This window comes from Homo sapiens, chromosome 1 (genome assembly GCF_000001405.40).
Source record: "Homo sapiens chromosome 1, GRCh38.p14 Primary Assembly".
Taxonomy (NCBI): domain Eukaryota; kingdom Metazoa; phylum Chordata; class Mammalia; order Primates; family Hominidae; genus Homo; species Homo sapiens.
The window spans coordinates 17911249-17927754 of NC_000001.11; the positions used below are offsets into that span (position 1 = coordinate 17911249).

The following is a 16506-nucleotide window of genomic DNA, read 5'->3' on the forward strand; positions in this document are numbered from 1 at the left end:
AAGAAGTTCAAAGGAATGTTACCATTTGCGTATCACCTCTCTGTTACCTGGAAGCTCCCTCACCACTTCCAGTCTTCCTGCCTTTGCTTCAAGTTGTCCCGTCCTTCCATACTGAACCAATGTACTTCCTACATATATTGATTGATATTTCATGTCTCCCTAAATGTATAAACCAAGCTGTGCCCTGACCACCTTGAGCACATGTCGTCAGGACTTCCTGAGGCTGTGTCATGGCTGCATCCTCAACCTTGGCAAAATAAACTTTCTTTTTTTTTGAGATGGAGTCTCGCTCTGTCGCCAGGCTGGAGTGCAGTGGCGCAATCTCGGCTCACTGCAACCTCCACCTCCCGGGTTCAAGCGGTTCTCCTGCCTCAGCCTCTTGAGCAGCTGGGATTACAGGTGTGCACCACCACACCAAGTTAATTTTTGTAGCAAAAGAAACTTTCTAAATTAACTGAGACCTGTCTCAGATTTTCTAAGTTCACAAATCATACTGAAATCACAGAAAATCTGCTATACACAGATATGTGCCACACCTCAGGAAACCCAACACAGGGCTTTCTTTCACTCGTACGCTCTGTTAACCCTGCCTCTTAAGTTTTATTAGCCTTTCTCTTGTGCTTATCTGAGTTCTTGCGTACCATTCAGCTGTTTTTCTTCTCTAAAATTTTTTACACAGTGAAATCTCTGCTGAAGTAAATGGATGCTCAAAGACATTCCACATTCTTTGATTAATTAGACCAACACCCAGAAATGAGTGAAATGCTTGTAAATGATTTATTTGCTGAATCAGGGCAGAGAGCCCATGTTGACTCTTCCACCTTGTGAAAATTCTAAGTTTGTTTTTAAGACGATTAAGTGATAAACAGTGACTTATAAATAGTTACAATCTACCTGTCATCTTTAACTGTCATCATTTATGACTTGATGACATTTTTTTTATGCTATTACTGGTGTTTGTGGTTGTTTGCCTAATTGTTGGCATGTTCAGCTGGATTTTAGGGAAATATTTAAGTCGTATGTGTGTATATCCTATTATATTACATATTGCATATGATATATGGCAGATTATATGAGATGTGTACTTTTTTTTTTAGTATTTACTGTAGTTTGGGCTCTGACTGTAGTGATTTACATGACCTTATTCCTCACTGCAACCCCATGGGATGGTACTGCCACAATCCCTATTTGTCCAGAAAGAAACTGAAGTTCAGAGAGGTCAAGTTAGTTGCCCAAGGTCACAGGCTACTAAGCGTCAAAACTGGGATTGAATTCAGACTTGTCTGACCCCAGAGCTGATGATGAAAACCACAGCACTGCATTGCTTCTCTCTTCTGGTCCTAATCCCCCCTGTGGGGAAACTGAGGCCAGAGAGGGGACCAGCCTTGCTGTCTCATTGCCATTGTCTGAGTCTGGGCAGAAGCCATCCCTCCGCCCCCTGCTGCCTTTTCCTAGCCGCTCCAGACTCCCGCAGTCCCCAGCACCGGACGGTGCATCGGTTTCCCAACTGCTCCTCTGCATGGGCAGAACTGTCACTGATCAACTGGAAATATTGCTGCCATTTCTTCTAATTCTCCTGCTTTTTTTTCTGAAGACAGCACAGAGCTTTTTTTCTTCCTGCAGGCCCTAATGTGATTATTTGTGTAGCAGACAAACATACAAATGTACATGACTTTGAATTATGGGGAGTGCCAGGATAGACTGTATTTAAAACAACAACTCTATTACTCATAGCTTGAGAAGACGGGGATAGCATTATTAGGAGGACTTCTGCTGAAGTTTGCTATGGGATTCCATTCACTGATATTTTAGGTTGATCGTGCCTCACTCAGATTCAACTCATAATGATCAGTTGGCATATTAGGTGCAAGGCTGAAAGCTAGATCTGGGGAGGGGAGTGGCATAAAGAGAAATACAACTTTCTGGTCTTGAGATGCTTCCTGCCTTCCCTGCCACCTTCCTTTCTTTCCTCTTTCCTTCCTTCTCTCCCCTATCTTCTTTCTTTCTTCCCTCTCCTACTGCCCTCCTTTCTCACCCCAGCCATGTTTTGGGGGCCCCATTACTCTCTGTGCACCCTCGTAAGGTATTCACACGGAGTGATACGGTTTGGCTCTGTGTCCTCAGCCAAATCTCATCTTGTAGCTCCCATAATTCCCACATGTTGTGGGAGGGACCTGGTGGGAGATAATTGAATCAGAGGGGTGGGTCTTTCCGATGCTGTTCTCATGAGAGTGAATAAGTCTCTGTGAGTCATGACGGAACCCCACGGAGGCGTTCCCGAGAAGGACTCTTTGCCATGACCTTTTGCCTGCCTTGTCCTCTCTTAGGTACGCTGTTCCCTCGTGGCCTGTGACCCTGGCACAGAGCCACCCCATGCTTCATCATCAGGCCATTCTTACCTCCCCTGCTGAGACCACCTGGGCTCAGACTTGGCATTCTGGTCATGGTGGGCACAGGGTAGAGCCCCAGCAAGCAGCCTGTCCCACTCAAAGTCCTCCTCAGAGACACCTCAGTCCAGCCAGCCAAGGTCAACTGATGACAGAACAGCCCCAGGACAAGTCCTGGGCAGGACCCACTGGTCACCAAGTCCTCACCTTGCTTTCCCACCTGCACACCCCCAAGCTGTGGTCCCCAAGTGACCCGACAGTGCTCCCCCAAGCCCGTGTCCCCAGTGTCCCAGCCTTGCCCAAACTTAAGCAACAAAATTTCAGAAAGAATTTCTCTGCAGTGGGTTCAGGTCATGACTGCAAGCCCTTGACAGCTCTCAGACCGCCTCTCCTTCATCTGCTCATGTTGACACTGCCTCCCACATCTGGGCAGCACAGCAAGTGGGGAGGAGTTGGCTCTGGAACCGGTTCCACCTTGAGCAAGGGACATATCCGCTCCGTGCCTCAGTTTCTTCATCTGTAAAATGGAGGTGATAAGAGGACCCACCTCACAAAGTTGCTGTAAGGATTAAATTAGCTCATGGGAAGCACTCGGTGCAGCGCTTAGCATGCAGTGAGCGCTGGGTGCTCAAGAGCTTTGGTTTCCATGACTACAACTGGCTACTCTGAGTCTTAGTCCTTGGGGATGGCTCAGTCCCCCTCTCGGCATCTAGGTCTGCTTCTGTAGCCCACACCCAAATTCTTCTTACCGCATCCATCAGTGCCTGCTTGTGATGGGGCTCTGATCCTCAGCTTCATGGAGGACACAGCCATGATTGAGCTCCCACTGTCTACAAGGCTCAGTGAGGCACAGCAGCTGTGACGCCCCAGGGAACTTAGTTACCCTCTTCATACTTCATCTTCCTCATCTGAAAAACAGGCGTGTAAACAGTCTTCACTTCACATGGCTGTTGTGAGGAATTAATGAGTTAATTGCAAGGGACTTACCACAATTCCTGACCCATAGTCTAAATGTGCAAAAAATAATGCAAGCTGTGGGGATTGTTATGTTCAAGGTCATGGGTGTCCTGGGGGGTGTCAGTTATGGTCCCTGCCTCCTGTCCTCCTTTGTCATAGACCCTGCATCTCCCACGGCATATAGGCTGCCTCTTCCTGCTTCCCTGAGTTCAGATGAAACACCATGCCCTGTCCTGTTCTCATTCCCAGCCTTGGAGGTGGCTTGTCCCTGCTGAGCCTCTGCCATTTGTTTGCCAAAGGGCTCCTTACATGGGCAGAAGTTACACTCAGACCCTGTGGGCTATGAAAGTTCCCTCAGTAACTCCCTTTTTTGGAGAGCTCGTGTTCTAGACATTGGGCTGAGTAGTTGACAAAGATCTCATTGAATTTATAGAATGGTCCCATTTTACAGGTGAGGAAACCAAGGCGCAGGAAAGTTGAGGAACATGCCCAGAGTAGCTAGAGCACTGAAGGGCAGAGCTGGCACTCCAGTGGCCACAGCCTGAGCTTTTCGCCTCTAGGCCGCTGTTTCTCCTTCTGAGGGAGGCATCTCCTGTCCCATGCGCTTTCTCCTGCAGATTCTCTCTGCCCAGCTCTGGGAAGGCCGTCTGCCCCTGTCACACTTCAAGCTGCTGCGTGGATCCCTGCGGTAGGGCGAAGACCGTCTCTGGGTGCTCCAGTTCTGCCCTCTTTCCAGCAGAAGGGCTTTTCAAACAGGCTTCCCATCTGAGAAAGGAAAATATCTTGGGCCCCCAAAATCACGAAACTAAAAGGAAAATTCAAGCTGGAAACTGCTCAGAGCAAACCTGTCTCCCATTCTATTCAAAGTCACCTCTCTGCTCACTGAGATAGATGCATATCGGATCGCCTCCTTTGGAGAGGCTAATCAGAAACTCGAAAGAATGCAGCCATTTGTCTCTCACTTATCTGTGACCTGGAAGCCCCCTCCTTGCTTGTCCCCGCCTTTCTGGACAGAACCAATGTACTTCTTACATATATTGATTGGTGTCACATGTCTCCCTAAAATGTATAAAACCAAGCTGTGCCCCTACCACCTTGGGCACATGTAGTCAGGACTTCCTGAGACTTTGTCACATGTGTGTGTCCTCAACCTTGGCAAAATAAGCTCTCTAAATTAACTGAAATCTGTCCCAGATTTTCTGGGTTTACAGGTCTGACCCTCACCCTGCTCTCCTTCTGACCCTGACCCTGGACCCTCCTTCCGCCTCTGGAGGTCACTCCTTCCACGGTGCAGCTTCGCTCTGCCAGGATTCTCCGTTCTGCTTCCCTTGCTCAATACAAACTGCCCTCAGAGCTGAAGGTTTATGCTCCTACAAATGCACATGTTTACAAGAACCCTGCATACTCTTCCAGCCAGGGCTCTCCAGGGCACAGAAGAATGGGGGAGGGCTTGGTCATTTCCTAAAACAGTGTGTGGATAAGCAAACAGCCACTCCTTGAGAAAGTCCCAGAATAAGCAAACGGATTTAATGTTGTTCAATCTTACTTTCTCCAAATAAATTTAACTCCAGGACTTTTATTTTTTTCATTTGCAACTCTAGTTAACATTTCAAAGAACCTCTAGGGCAAATCTTGACATGAAGCCGTTCAGAACCCGCCCCTACCCCCCGAGTCTCACACATTCGATCGCCTCTCACCTTTGCCTATGAATCGAACTCATTCTTCAAGGTCCTCTTGGAATACCCCTCTTCCAGGAAGTTTGTACTGATTCCTTTAGCTAGAAACAACCTTTTCTTGTAGGAAGCTTCATGTTAGGGACTTTCTTGAGTGTCTTCAGAGCAGACCCTGGGTGGCATGGTGGTTGAGACATGAATTTTGGAGTCAGATGCAAGTTTGAGACCTGGTACAACCTCAGAAGAGTGGGATGACCTTGGAGAATGTTACTCAGCTTCTCTGAGCCTCATCTGTGTTTCCTCTACTGCAATATAGGATAATAGTAGAACCCGTTTGCAATGTTTTCACATGAACAGCTCAGCAGAGTACAAATCACATAGTAAGCATATAATGAGTGGCAGTTGCTACTATTATTATTATTATTATCACCACCATTAGGGATGTTAGTATCTCTTTGTAGAATTGATTTCAGTCCACACCAGGACATCACAGGGCCATTTGGAGTGTGTCTGTAGCCATAGATGTGAACTTGAAGGTAGGCAGCACTACCTCACTTAAATCTCTGCTCTGAGCCCCCGGGTAAGGGCTGGGGGCTGGGAGATGCTCTGGTGTCTGGGGTGTCTCCTGCCTTGAGTCAGATCCAAGAAGGAGGCTGAGTGAGGAGGCTGGCCTTCCCCCATATGAGAACCCAGAGATGCCAAGGCCTCCCTCTGTCTGCTCAGTGAAAGGAAGGCTCAGAGCCTGGCGTGAGGTTAATGAGTCGCTCTCACTCTAATAATCTGATAAATGGCTCTTCCTCCCCTGGATCCTCTATGGAACTTTTAGCTCCTTTCTTGGGCTGGTTGCTGCCTGGTGGAGACCTCTGAGCAGGCCATTATTGCTTAATTACTGGCTAAACAGTCTCATTTGTTCTCCATTTGTCAGTGGTGAGTCCCAGCCAGGGCAGCAGAGAGAATTTTGAAATTCCTCATGGAGCTTTGGCTTTGGGAAATAAAGACACCTGTGTCTCCTTCCCCGCTGCCACCCTCTGGCCACGCTGGCCACAGAGATGGCTGAGCAGCTCCTGGAGTTAGTGCTGGCTGTTGTCTCTACCACCATCTGAATTGCTTTCTTTGCTCTTCTGTTTGCTTTTTCCTTTCTTGTCTTGGCCTTTCCACTCCTTCAGCCTGGTGTGGGAGAACTTGGATTCTGCAGCTGGGAAACTTGGTATGAAATCCTGGTTTCTAGATCTACTCAGGTCTATCCCTGTCCAGGTGGGCGACTGGATCTCTATACCTTTATATGCAAAATATGTGCACTAGAAACACAGTGCAAAGTGGGTGCACTAGCCTCATGATGGCATGGTGAGCAGGACGTAAAAGTAAGTGGGATGCAAGCAGGATTTCCACTGCCAACTAGGGTTGGGCACATTGTGCAAATGCCAACTTTAATTCTATTTTCCTCTACATGCATGACCTGCTTCATACCATTGTGTCACTTCCACAGGTCTCCTTCATGAACATGGAAGGGTTTGGCCCAGATCCCCCACTCACACTGGCACTGTCTTCCACCTCTTGCCCACCCTGTCATTCCCTTCCCCAATGAGGTGTTCTACTTGGATGGTCTGGGTGCAGGAGGAGACATTTTTCCTCTTCAGTAATGCTGTTGCAAAACCTTCTCTATGCTCTTTTTCCTACACGGAAAATCAACTTGGCAATATGTAGCTCACCTAAAGTGCCAGTACATACTTGGCCAGTGGATAGGCTGGCTGGGCATCTCCGCTAAGTAAATTTGGGCATTTAAGACTGTTGCGAGTTGGGAACTATGGGAAGGAGACTGTGAGTTGGAGCTCAGCATGCAGGATGTTTATTAGGAAGCCTTTTGGAAACACCACCCATGGAAGGGAGAGGATGGAAACAGAACTGGGCAGAGGGAGAATTTGAGCTGGAACAGAGTCCCAAAATGATCTTGGCCAATGGCACTTGGCTAGCCAGAGTTTGAAGGGCTCTTCAGAGTCTGCCCAAGTTGGGGGTGAGGGCTAGGTGTGGGTCTCCCTGGGGAGTGAGCAAGACTTGGGTGTGGTGACTTTCTCCAGCTGAGGCAATCCTCGAAGGGGGCTGGCAATTAGGATCTGTGAGTTGGTAGCCCTCCCAGTAGCTGGGTGCCCAGTCTCTCCAGTCTTTCATTCCTGAAGGATTGCCTGGGTAGCACATCACAGAGCTTAGCCCAGAGGCTTTCGGAAGTCTCCTCTAGGTCAGTCCTACCCTGACCACTCTGGGACCCAGGTCTGCTTCTCCTGGCTCTGCTGTTCCTGACCCCACTTCCTGTTGGCTGCATCTTTTGTCCCCAGGGTCCTGATCTCTTGCCTTCAGACCCAACCTGACAATTGGATGTGGTTACTAAGTGCCTGGGGAATTTCTCCCCTGTTTCTGGGCTTCCCTCTGACCCCAGTAAAGCCTTCTCTAGAGGAAGGACGTGAGCCCTTGTCTTCACCAGCCAGCTCCTGGTTTTTGCACTTATGGAAGGGAGCCATGTCGCTAATCATGCAAAGCAGCAGATAATACAAAATCATTTACATTTGTCCTTCAGTTGCATTACGTGATTGCAAGGGGATGGAAGAAGTGTGATGACATCAAGTAAGTAAGGGCACTCTGGATACAGACTGCCTAGTGTGTACCTCGGCTCTACCACTTACTAGCTGCATGACCTTGAGTAAGTTATTCAGCCTCACTGTGCCTCAGTTTCCTAACCTGAAACTGAGAATTTAACAATGGTACCTATATCATACAACTATTGTCAGCGTAATAAATCATGACATATCCAGCCCTTGGAGTGTTGCCTGATTCATAGTAACTGCTCAATAAATGTTTGCCTTGATGGTAATGTTTGGTAGAAAGTTTTGTTAAAATATTTACTTTTATTAATTTTTTAGAGACAGGGTCTTGCTGTGTCACTCAGGCTGGGTGCAGTGGTCCATTCATAGTTCACTGCAGCCTCGAACTCCTGGACTCAAGAAATTCTCCCGCCTCAGACTCCTGAATAGCTAAGACTACAAGCGCATGCCACCATGCCTGGTTAATTTTATGTTTTTTTTTCTTTGAATTTTTGTAGAGATGGGGTCTTGTCATGTTGCCTAGGCTGGTCTCAAACTCCTGCCCTCAAGTGATCCTCCCACCTCAGCCTCCCAAATTGCTGGGATTACAGGGGTGAGCCATCGCATCTGGCCCAAATGTTATCTGCCATCAACTTCACTTAATTGGAGTTGACCCAGAAGATTTGAAATGGCAGGAGAAGTTGTTCTGGCATTAAAGGACTTCCATGAATGTTACACAAGTAGATCAAGCCCAGACAGCCACCTAGACGGGACATTGAGAGGAGTCAGCACCAGGGACAGCTCCCATTCTCCATCTCAAGAAAGATTTTTCCTCCAAAGGACAACGAATCACAGAAACGATTTCAACTGCTCATCCTCCAAGCCCCTTGACAAGATAAGCGTCCCCCAGAACTGGGCCCCAAATGTTCATCATCCAGCGATGATGTCTGTGTCTAATCAAGATTGCCCACAGGAGCCATGGAGAAAAGACTGAAGGAGCGAGAGAGAGAGAACTTAAGAGTCCTGGGTCCGTCCTTACCAGTGCATGTACTTGAGGGGTGGAGATAGGAGAGGGTCCTCCTCCCATGCTCTGGGGCACCCTTTTCTTATCTGCAAAGCAAAGGAGTTTGTTCTCCCAAGACTTGCCAGGCTCTGGCAGGCTTTGGGTCTGTGCTGGTCCTCTGGGGATGGAGGCCATGAGTCCCTGGGGCCAGCAGATGGCACCCTCTGTCCTGTGTCCACCCATGGGGCAAGCTTTCCTGGCTGGCCACCCACAAGACACCGCTGAGGATCTGAAAGTTGGCTGGAGTGAGTGGAGTCCTTGAACCCTGAGTGTCTCCGCTCTCCATTATTCCTTCATTATCTGCTTCCCAAAACCCCATCCCCTGCCTCTTATCACCATGGCAGCAGGTGCTGAGGCTGTGCCTGCCTTTGAGATGAATGTTTGTCCTGTTCCTATCTGACCCTGTATTGCTGCCTGGTCCTCTGCCTTCCCCTGAGAGGTCTGCATTGCAGGGCTTGGGGAAAAATCCACCCAGTTCTTTCTCTCCTCCACCCCTCCTGTCCCCCACTGTAGGACGTTCTGGGTTGGTCCAGCACAGTGGAGCCATAGGGTAGAAGGGAAAGGGAAGCCCCAGCCTTGCTTCCTGTCCCGTGCTGCTCTTTTGCTCCAGGAGGGGCTTGTGTTTGCTGGGAGCAGGAGGTGATGCTCTCTGAGTCACAGGAGGTCAAGAAGTGGAAATGAGGTCCTGAGACATGAGGATGATAGATACTTTAGTCTTGAGTACTTGCTCAGGGCCAAGCACACATCTCACTTAAGCAGACGATGCAGGCACCATCATTTTGAAGTCTATGGCCAGAGAGGTTCAAGTATTTAGCAAAGGCCACGCAGCTAAGGAGTAGCAGAGCGGAACATCACACCCAGTCTGTCTGACTCTGGGGGTGAATTAAACAATGTGATGTTGTGGGGAGAGATCTTGGCCAAGAGTCAGCCAAACGGTTCTGATCCTGGCTCTGCTCCTGAACGCAGTTGTGTGACCTTCGATGAGGAGCTTCCTCGGTTTCCCCATTGGGAAACAGAAGGATTGGACTAGGATGCTCTCTAAGGATCCTCCAGCTCTAAGAGTCTATGAATAGACTTTCCCTGAGATGAGAGCTTTTTAAAAACTGTTTGCAGGAACCCACATATGCACAAACCCAGCCTTATGTACAAATGGAGTAGGCGGCAGCCTGTATGGTGTGAATGATGGCTGCTGGGAAGGGCCCCTGCCCGAAATATTTCCATCGCTCATCCACTGCCAATGTGCTTGGAGTCTGCCATTCCAGAGCCATGCCTTCACCAAGTTCCTATTTCAAAATGCAAGCACCTCAAGGCGGCCTAAGAGATTATGTCCTTTATTTCTGGGGGAAGGGAACTTTTATTTTGATGGATGCCAAAACTGGTTTGCATTTCCTGAGTTTAAAGTAATTCTCTTGCAGGTGAGAGTAGCCTGCTCAGTGCCAACTGGGAGAGCAGAACCTTCCTTCCATTCAGTAGTTGGGAGGGAACTGGGGAGGCTGCTGGAGGATGCCTGCTGCTTTATGGAGCATCCTCGGCTTTGGCTCCAGGTAGACGTGGGCTTGAATCCTGGCAGCCGGGTGACCTTTTGGGATACACTCTGACTTCCTCCTTCCTGGAGCCAAGTCTCTCATTTCCCTGGGACTTAGCACACACAGGCTGCTGGAATGGCTTCTTCCGGAAGAGGAGGGATCCAGCCCCACTGAGTGGGTATGTTTCCCAGGAGAGGCCTGGAGGCTGATGCCTGGGAAATGCCAACACCTCTCCCCTGGCTCCTCTTGGCAAGCCCATCTCTGCACCCCTCCCTGTCTTTCCAGCAGCCCATTGGAGGCTGATGGACAGGAAGGTGTCATTTCCTCCTCCCACCCAACATCACCACCACTTCCCTCACCCTGTCCCCTCCTGGCTCCGAGTAGCGGTGAAACTCTTCCCGATGAGGGGTACCTGCACCATCCAGACCCTCTCTAAATGGAGGGCAGCCATGCTTACTGGGGCAGGTAAGATGATGTGGGAGGTGCCTGGCACATGATGGGTGCTTGATGCATGTTGGTGACACCCCACCCCTTTCTGTTCTCCTTGCATTTATGAGGTCAAGTTAAACATGGGGGGCACAACCACATGGTGAGCTTGTGGCTGAGCTATGGCCACACACACTCTTCTCTCTCATAACCCATTGGTCCATTCAGCCCTAGAGATCTTGACAGAGGGCAACTGTCACAGAGCCACAAAATAGCAGTAAGGGACATTGCCTGGCACAAAGTAGGTGCTCGAATGATTGTGCTATACTCAGGATAACATCTAGGGTCCTTCCTGGGCTCCTCTAGCCTCTGTAGGGTCTATCTGGCCCCTCTCCAGCTCTTTGACTTTGTGTCTTGCTACTTCCCTGCTTGCTGATTCCACCTTAGCTGCATGAACCTTCTCTAACTTCCTGGAACATACCAGGACCTTGCAGCCCTCCCTCTGGAATGGTCTCCCCCAGTATCTGCATGGCTTATTCCCTTGCTTCCTTCAAATCTCTTTACATGTCACCTCGGTGAAGAAGACTTCCCTGACCACCCTAACTAAACTAGCACCCCCGTCACTCCCTATTCTTTAAAGCATTTGTCTCCCTTACCTTATATATTTCTTTGTTTGTTTGCTTATTGTGAGAATCTAGCATCATACCTGATAATTTTTTTTTTTTTTGATATGGTGTCTCGCTCTGTCGCCCAGGCTGGAGTGCAGTGGCGCGATCTCAGCTCACTGCAAGCTCCGCCTCCCGGGTTCACGCCATTCTCCTGCCTCAGCCTCCTGAGTAGCTGGGACTACAGGTGCCCACAACCACGCCAGGCCACTTTTTTTGTATTTTTAGTAGAGACAGGGTTTCACCGTGTTAGCCAGGATGGTCTCGATCTCCTGACCTTGTGATCTGCCCGCCTCAGCCTCCCAAAGTTCTGGGATCACAGGCATGAGCCACCGCGCCTGGCCCATACCTGATAATTTCTACAACACATTTTTGTTTGCTGCTGTATCCCCAGCACTGAGAACAGTACCTGGCACATAGGAGGTGCTCAGTAAAGATCTGTGGACTGAATGAATGGATGGATGAATGATCCATGTGGGCAAGACCAGTGTTTCTAACACAAGTTCTCCAGATCTCTAGAGGGCGCCAGAGGCCATCCCAGGGGTTCTGCAGCTGCTCGAAAAGGGGACCAAGAATTTACCTAGGATTAAATCCATATTGGCTATTGCTTAATAAATGAAGTTTGTTCTATAACCATCCATTCAGAAAACATTTATTGAGCACCTACTATATGCCAGGCACAATGCCAAGCATCAGCATTACGACGCTGAGAGAAACAAGCACATTTATGCCATTTTGGAGCTGGCAATGTCATTGGGGAGCTCATGATATTCAGAGTGGGGTCCCAGGGCGGCTGCACCAACAGAATTTCTGACTCCATCTCCAGATGGTCCTGACAGTTTTCGTCTGCATTTGGAGCAAATCTGCCTCCTTGAGAACATTTCCTTCTTCACCCCAGCCTTGGCCTTCCATCTTATAAATGAGACATTTGTACAGGAAGATCCTTAAGAACCTCTCTGGCTCCCACGTTTCCTGGCTCCCGGGGAAGAACTCAGGAAGACAGAGGCATTGGGTGCTTCTGATCTCAGGAGAGCCTGAGATATGGAGGGGCAGCTTAGCACTGGGGTCCAGATGAGGACACTCTGAGTGCCAGGCTTGGAGGATAGCTCCTCCCTGATGCCCGCTGTGCAGGGAGATGGTTCTTTTCCTTTATCAGCATCCTGGCACAGCATGCAAGGAGCTGCCTTCCCTTGAGTGGCAAAAGCCAGGCTGAGTGCCAACTTATTAGGAATAGCTTCACCACTACCCAGAGCCAGGAGGGGCCAGAGTGGAGGATGTGGTGGTGATGTTGGGTAGGGAAGAGAGGGCGAGAGCTTCCCATTCATCAGCCATCAGCCTCTGACAGGCTGCTGAAAGGGAAGGGAGGGGTGCAGAGATGGGCTTGCCAGGAGGAGCCAGGGAGAGGCGGTGGCATTTTCCAGGCACCAGCCTCCAGGTCTCTCCTGAGAACACACCCACCCAGTGAAGCTGTTGCTGGCTGGATCCCGCTACCCCTGGAAGAAGACATTGCAACAGCCTGTGCGTGCTGAGTCCTGAAGTGAGGGATTTGGCTTGCGAGGGAAGAAGTCAGAGCAGAGCTGGAAAGGAAGACTTTTATGGGGAGAGTGGGGAGGACTGTCTCTATAGAGCCCCACCAAAAAAAAAGCAGGAAGTGTTTAAGTCAGATACTAGGAAGAACATCTCGGCAGGACCAGTTGTCATTTTATTATCAAAGAGGACTGTGGATACCTGTGTAGAGGTTGTTGTGTCTGATTTCTGAATCATCCATATGAGCTCTGATTCATTCATTTGTTCATTCATCCATCCATCTATCCATCCATCCATCCATCCATCCATCCATCCATCCATCCATTCATCCATCCAACCTTCCATCATACATCCATCTTACTGTGTGCCAGTGCTGAGCCCTGGGCAAGGGAGATAAATAAGACAAAGTCCCTGCCCTCCAGGAGTCTGTGAGTGGGACAAGGCACATGCCTAGCTAACTAAAACACACAGCCAAAGTGGGTGGTGGCATCTTAGAAGGACCAACAGGAGATTAGAAGAGAGACGACACTTGGGACCAGGTGGTCACAGAAGGCTTCCTGTAGGAGGTGGTATTTCAACTGGGCTTTGCAGTATCTCAGAATACCCAGGAAGACAGGACAATGTAGACACAGACTCAGAGGTGGGAGAGTGCAAGGCCCAGGCAGGAGTGTCAGCCTACCATGTGGCTGAGGCATGTGGTTTCAGCAGGGGTGCTGAGGTCACCTGACCCTGGCCTTGGCAGGAAGGCTGGGTCACCTGAACCATGTCTAGCCTATCAGTAGAGTCCATTCTCCTGGCTACATGATTGGTTCCAGAATGGCATGTGAGCCAAGATGTTCCAATGAGAATCAGCCATGGGATTTTTGCTGGAATCACCCTCATCCCTTATGTCATTTACAGCCAATGGAATTATCTTCTACACAGCCTCTGGTGGAGAGATAGCCAGACCAGGAACTGAAGTTTGGGCTTGAGCTCTGGCTCTGTTCCATGCCCAATATGTAGTCTTGGGCAAACTCTTGCCTCCCTCTGGGTCTTTGTTTCCATGTTTGTAGAAGAAGGAACTCAAGGTAGATGACCTTCGAGGTGCTACTAACTTTTTAACTCTGGAGTTGTACATCTCTTAGTCCCATTTCCTCTCCATCCCGATGCCACCATCTTGTGGGGAGGTGTGTGTTTGGGGAGGAGTTCTGCTGGGTATCTGAGCACACAAACACAAAAACATCCAGCAATTGTTATTATCTGCAATTTCTTGGCTCTTCCTTGCTGTGCTTCTGCTTTCCTCCATTTTAACAAGATTGGGGGGAAATTGACGAGGCTTTGCATATTGAAAGAAGCTGAAAACCCTGCCTGACTCTCACCCTCCCTATCTGACAGCAGCTCAGGGAGGATGGGCTGCCTGTCTGCCACTCAGCAGAGCCCAGCTCCAGCCCACAGCATGGAGGCTCAGGGGCTCTGTCTCCTCCTGGCATCTCCTCTGTCTCTGTTCCCCATAAGACTTGGGAAGTTCATTATTTCCCTGACTGGCTTTTCTGGCGAGACTCAAATTAATTTTCCATCTCTCCTTCTCTCCCAAGCTTCGCAATCATTAAATGCCAGGGAAAGTTAAATAAACAGCTGATTTACAGAAGCATTTCCTTTCTTTCTTTCTTTTTTTAAAAGCAGGAACCTCTATTAATCAGTTGTGCCGAGAGCGGTCTGATTAAGCAGTTCGCGCGCCCTTCAGAGGAGCAAGTGTGGGGTCAGCGGGCCTAGCGACTGGCAAGAGGCTCCTAATCTGGGATAAAAATAGCGCAGGCCCCTGTCCCCTCCGTCTTCTCCCCACAGAGGGGGGAGGGGGGCAGGCCTTTTCTGCATGGAGGGGCAAAACAAGGCACTTGGCTCAGACCTGAGGTCTCTCCACTATCCTGAGCTGAAAGACTTAAAAAAATATTTTCATATTTTCACTCAACTCCGCTGTTACACAGAGACTCAGAGAGGGGAAGGCACCTACCCTGGGTCACACAGCAAGGTCACGGCAATGCTGGGATTAGGATCCTGAATTTCAGTTTGGAACTAAGGGATGAGGAGGCTTCAAGATTTGCATGCCTTGAATAATTTGACAAGAAAAGGCAAGCACGTCACATATACTGGCACTGTCAGGGAGCCATAAAGAGAACATGCACAGAAATGCTTCTGCACACATTCACACACAGAGGCATCCCCAGGTGTGTGTGCACACAAGCACACCTGCTCCTGGAGCTGGTACCTGAATTGAATCTCTGGAGGATACAGTGATTTTGCCATCTGCCTGGACTGGGCGTCCCCACCCATAACCCCTTCCTGGACTGTCTCGGGTGGGTGGAGACCCTCTGACCACCCATCTCCCACCCCACTCAGTCTGGGGCTTTCAGACCTTAAACCCTGTTTCCAGCCTCATTGTGAAGCCAGCACAGCCGGGAGTTCAACAAGCAGAGTCAACAATCCTGGGTCCTGCCTGTCCCCTCGATGGCTGGTGACTCTGGGCCCCCTGAGACTCACCGAGGACAGTGAATCTCCCCTTCTCTAAAATGGACACAGAAGTTCTTATTTCTCAAGGCAGTGGTGGGAATTACATAAAGGTTTGTAAAGCACCTGCTTCTGGATTTGTTCAGCAAATGTGTATCAGGGGCCCTGTTCCCCGGGGGCACTCCATCTCTGGTCTTCCTGCCTTGGCACATAGTAGGTGCTCAGCAAACAGAAGTGGTTGTCAGTATCATTCGCCCATCAGGCATTGACTGAGAATGACCTCATGCCAGGTGCTGGGGCAGGTGCAGGTTCACAGGCAAATGGCTAGAGGAGTATCGCCGAGTGTCTCCAGGGAGGAGCACTCAGGTAGTAGGTGAGACACACACATAAGAAAGTGATTCCAAATGACACCCAAAATGCTGTTAAAGATGAAACAGTACTCACAACAATAATTAGAGTTCACATATCTACGTGCTTACTGTACTCCCAGGGGATGTGCCAAATGCTTTGCCTCTTTGCCTTAAGAGTTTCTCACAACAACCTCATGAGGTGAGTACTGTTATTTCCATCATTTTACAGATGCGGAAACTGAGGCACAGAGAGGGCGAGTAACTTACCCAAGGTCACACAGCTGGTACATGGTAAAAGGGGTAGTGAAAACACAGTGGAAGCATAACTAACTCCAAAAGGGGAGTCCAGGAGCGGGACACTTATGAAAGAGAGAGCTTGGAGGTGGGCCTTGAATCCTGAGACCACCCCTGTCCTTCCTTTTCTGCTCATCAATGCCATCCTGTCCTCTCACTTCTACCCCAGGGAACCAGCCCCATGCTTGACTCTCAAGGGACAGTCACATGACTGTGCTAGCCCTGGCTGATGGGACCCGGGTGCGCGTCTGACCAATGAGACTGCGATCAGACCCAAGAATTTAAACCCACATAACCAGAGAGCGGGAGTTGTGGTGGCCTCAGACTGGAGGGTCAGAGAGGAGCTAGCACCAAGGAGAGAAGGAGAGTAGGGCAGAGGCCAGGGGTTGGGGGAAAAGAGGGAATGCACCTGCTTTGCCTCTGATTCCTTACCATTTCTGAGTTCTAGAGGCCCAGCCATTCTTCCAGCTTCTGGGGTTCATGGGCAACCTACAGCTTGACAATCAAATTCCCTGGACTTAAGTGAAGCTAGCGTGGCCTCCAGTTTCTTGTCCCCAAATAATGCCAGCCTGAGGGCAGGT

General features: G+C 49.5%; 1 annotated feature.

Moving 5' to 3' along the window:
• Positions 2308-3507: an enhancer, noted in NCBI's record as "BRD4-independent group 4 enhancer chr1:18240050-18241249 (GRCh37/hg19 assembly coordinates)". NCBI's record gives its function as "activates an origin of replication core promoter dependent on BRD2, P300/CBP, MED14 and CDK7 cofactors, and independent of BRD4, by STARR-seq in HCT116 cells {active_cell/tissue: HCT116}" and the evidence as "EXISTENCE:reporter gene assay evidence [ECO:0000049][PMID:35650434]".